Source organism: Homo sapiens, chromosome 9 (genome assembly GCF_000001405.40).
Source record: "Homo sapiens chromosome 9, GRCh38.p14 Primary Assembly".
Lineage (NCBI taxonomy): Eukaryota > Metazoa > Chordata > Mammalia > Primates > Hominidae > Homo > Homo sapiens.
This window is the reverse complement of record NC_000009.12, coordinates 88179086-88183351: the sequence shown is the minus strand read 5'-3', so window position 1 is coordinate 88183351 and position 4266 is coordinate 88179086. Positions and strand designations below refer to the sequence as shown.

The 4266-nt window shown below is 46.2% G+C and overlaps 1 pseudogene, besides 2 other annotated features; it reads right to left on the bottom strand.

Moving 5' to 3' along the window:
- LOC389768 (potassium channel tetramerization domain containing 1 pseudogene) lies at window positions 795-2694 on the bottom strand (annotated as a pseudogene).
- Window positions 2282-2873: an enhancer, noted in NCBI's record as "H3K4me1 hESC enhancer chr9:90795394-90795985 (GRCh37/hg19 assembly coordinates)". NCBI's record gives its function as "activates a minimal SCP1, AML or CMV promoter by ChIP-STARR-seq in naive H9 embryonic stem cells {active_cell/tissue: H9 hESC(naive)}" and the evidence as "EXISTENCE:reporter gene assay evidence [ECO:0000049][PMID:30033119]".
- Window positions 2874-3466: an enhancer, noted in NCBI's record as "H3K4me1 hESC enhancer chr9:90794801-90795393 (GRCh37/hg19 assembly coordinates)". NCBI's record gives its function as "activates a minimal SCP1, AML or CMV promoter by ChIP-STARR-seq in primed H9 embryonic stem cells {active_cell/tissue: H9 hESC(primed)}" and the evidence as "EXISTENCE:reporter gene assay evidence [ECO:0000049][PMID:30033119]".

The window sequence follows — 4266 nt, the reverse complement described above, 5'->3', positions numbered from 1 at the left end:
AGGCTGGAGTGCAGTGGCGCCATCTTGGCTCACCACAACCTCTGCCTCCCGGGTTCAATCAATTCTCCTGCCTCAGCCTCCTGAGTAGCTGGGATTACAAACATGTGCCACCACAGCCAGCTAATTTTGTACTTTTAGTAGAGACGGGATTTTACCGTGTTGGTCAGGCTGGTCTCGAACTCCAGACCTCAGGTGATCCACCCACCTTGGCCTCCCAAAGTGCTGGGATTATAGGCATGAGCCACCATGCCCAGCCTATTGTTTATTAACTTGGTTTTAAAAATATATATAATCGTCGTTAATCCAAGCACAATTTTCCACCAGTTATCTAAGTCTCTTCTCAGTATAATCAGGTTCATCAGGTATTTTATCACTTTCCTCTTTCTGAAGATGCCTTTCCCACCCACTTCAATCCTTCCTGGGTTGAATCTTCTGTATTCTATATCGCAAAATTTCTTCTTTTTGGCTGAATTCTCTTTTTGGGCAAAAGGACATCCTCTAGTGGCTTCATGAGATACTCTCATTATTTGCAGTTCCAAACTTCCAAATTTGCCTGCTCGCTGAAATTTATTTGTAACCCCCAAATCAATCATTGTCACGCCTCCTCAGTCATTCACAAGCATGCCCCGAGCAGTGAAAAATGTGTTTCTCCAGGCACAGTTCTTAGCTGAGGTCAAACAAGGCAATGCGCTGCCTCTTGTTTCAGCTGTCATACTGTTACCTTGTCGTTATCACTGTCTATTTAGTGTCACATTTTTGGCATTTTTGTGCTTTTTGTCAGTGTTTTTTTTTTTAAAGAAAAATTTCATTTTAATCCAGCCTGACCCCCACACGTGTGTTTCACACAGACCTTATTTTTTAAACAGACTTTATTGTATTTAATACAATATAAAATTTGAAAAATTGCAGGAAAGCAGCAGACTTGAACTGGAGCAATTCTAACAAGGAATAATAAAGTTCACATCTGTGAGGTGGACAAAAAGGTGTGACTTCTGTACAAACTACATTTAGCATTTCATGTCTAACATCTTTCAAATGCAATGTGCTCATGAGGGTTTTTCTGAAGTCCTGCCTGGTCCCTGCCTAAAGAGAGACGTAGAACCTCCATATACAAAGAAACTTGATTCAAGGTGCTTTTTTTTTTTTTTTTTTTTTTTTTTTTGAGACAGAGTTTCGCTCTCCTTGCCCCGACTGGAGTGCAATGGCACAATCTCAGCCCACCACAACCTCCGCCTCCAGGGTTCAAGCAATTCTCCTGCCTCAGCCTCCCGAGTAGCTGGAATTACAGGCATGTGCCACAACACCTGGCTAATTTTGTATTTGTTTTAGTAGAGACGGGGTTTCTCCATTTTGGTCAGGCTGGTCTCGAACTCCCGACCTCAGGTGATCCGCCTGCCTCGGCCTCTTAGAGTGCTGGGATTACAGGCGTGAGCCACCACGCCTGGGCTTGTTTTTTTTTGTTTTGTTTTGTTTTTTAAAAAAGGAAAAAGAAAGACAAAGGAAAAAGAAAGAATGGATGGCTGTTGGCAATGGAAACTGTGAGGAAACTGTCCTCACCATTCACGGCTTGTTTATTGGTCAGAGGCCTCGGGGGGCCCAGGATATTTCATGGCTATCACAGCACCAACTGCGGCTGTCACCTTTTTTTTTTTTTCTTTTTTGCATTTCCTACCTTTTGACATATATATATATATATATATTTTTTTTTTTCACCTTGAGGATATCACTATTCCAATTGTTCCCATATGAATACAGGTGTGGTCTCTATTGCATATAAATGCATCTTTTATTCAATTTTAGGTGCAGGACTTGGTTTTCTGTCCCAACTGCACACAAATGTCCCTTTTTTATTATTTGTTTATTAGTTGTGTGTGTTTTCCTTTTTGCATAAGAAATATGTCCGTTTAGTCCAGAGGCTCTTGCTTTATCCAGATGATGGAGGGTACGGGAAGGCATCCGCCTCAGTTCCCTATGAAGGACGTATTTGCTGAACTAGGACAAGCCCACTCCTCCCCTACAGGAGCCCACGATTTCAAATCCTCTTTGCTGCAACCTCTCGAGGACCTGGACTGAGTTGAGGTGACAGTAGCCACTTAGTGGAAACCTGACGATGTGCGTGGAGTCGTGATTCCAGCCTGCACTGATAAAGTTGCACATCACATCGCCGATCTCTGGAAACACTTCTTCTACCAAGGATTTGTCACCACTTAGCGTGATCCTTTCTCTGAGGTCTGGGGCCACACAAACAACAAGGCACTCACAGGGCCTTGAAAAGCGACCAGTTTCTCTGTCCTGCTTCCATCTTTCCATCTCCAACAACATGGGCTGAAGCTGAAAATATTTTGCCTCTTCATATAACAAAGTGTAGTCCTTGAAATCATCAAGAATGAGGAGTTTGGATGTTCGTAGAAAATTCAAGATATATCTGAACATCTGTCCATCTCTGTCAGTGAAATAGTGCTGTTTGAGACTGTCCAAAACTATGGGCTCTGTACCATCACAAAGTCTTCTGATTCTGGATACAGGGTATTTGGTGAGGGTGGCCAGGCTGCTGGTGTACATGTGGCTGCCCACATCAGTGTGGACATGCGCATTGGATTTTGTGAGTTGTGCCGGAGTAGGGGTGCCTTGGTTGTTCAGTGGAGATGCAGGGGATCTAGTGATCAGAGGTCTTAACATATGAGGCCGACTGTCCCTCTGGCGGAGAATTGCGCGGGCCCCGGGCGGGAGAGAAGGAGGGCCAGCGGGAGGGCGGGACGGTCTCGCTTCTCTAGGCAATGCCCGAGGAGTAGTGCCCCTTCCACTGCCCCCTCATTGCCCCCTGGAGCCAGGGGTTCGGGGCAGCAGGTGCGCCGGGCGTGCCGTGGTGCTGCCATGGGAAACCCGTGTCTGGGGCCGCCCTGAGCGGAGCGGAGCCTATCAGTGATTTAATTGTTTAAAATGGCCCCCAAGTGTACTGCTGAAGTGCTGTCTAATGTTCCTAAGTGCAGAAAGGCTGTGATGTGCTTTACAGAGAAAATATACCTGTTAGACAAGCTTGGCTCAGGCATGAGTTACAGTGCTGTTGACAGTAAGTTCAACAGCAATGAGTCAACAATATGTTACATCCAGAAGGAGGAAGAGGAAAGTCATTGACGCAGATGTGAGGCCACTCTGAAAAGTGCCCAAGTAACATCTATAGTACCTGGTAAAGTTATGGAAAAACAAGAAGAAGAAAAAAAACCAGTGAAATTTGTGGATTCATGAGATGACATTAAAAGTTTGGTGGACTGGCCAGGCGCGGTGGCTCGCCTGTAATCCCAGCACTTTGGGAGGCTGAGGCAGGCGGATCACGACGTCAGGAGTTCGCGACCAGCCTGACCAACATGGTGAAACCTCATCTCTACTAAAAATACAAAAATTAGCCGGGCGTGTTGGTGCGCGTAATCCCAGCTACTCAAGAGGCTGAGGCAGGAGAATCTCTTGAACCCGGGAGGTGGAGGTTGCAGTGAGCCAAGATTGCACCACTGCACCCCAGCCTGAGCGACAGAGCGAGACTCCATCTAAAAAAAAAAAAGTTTAGTGGACAGCATTGTTGTGAGGCTGACAGCCAAATAAATTTTTAGTCACATTACCCAAGGTCAGGAAAACGCAAAACTCTTCCCAGCTTGAGTTTTATTATAAAGAATAATACATACAGTTAACTATTGGTAAGAAACGTATATTAAACAAGGTGTCTGTAGATAAAAACACATAAAACAAAAATATGTATTGGTTGGATGACAAAAATGTAGTGATCAGAGGCGTGGAAGCTAACCCTGTATTTCTCCAGGAGCAGTGGTTCAGTATGGGCTAATAGTGTTCACAGTGTCTTTAGAGAACATACTCCAGCACTCACCAAGGCCATGCTTCTTGCATCACAGCTATGCTTCCTGCACCCACCAAGGCCATGCCTCCTGTGTTATAGCCATGCCTCCTGTACCCACCAAGGCCATGCCTCCTGTATTCACCACTGCTATACACCCCATTCAATAGCCACACTACACTTCCTACACCACAGCCTTGCCCCCTGCACCCACCACAGCTGTGACTATCCAATAGCCACACCTCCCCTACCACAGCCACACCCCCAGCACCCACCACAGCCACACTCAGCACCCTCCACAGTCACACCCCCTCCACAGCCACACTCCGTCCATAACCACACCCGCTCCACAGCCACGCTTCCTGCACCCACCACAGCCACACCCCAGCACTCTCCATAGCCATACTTCCTGCACTTTCCAC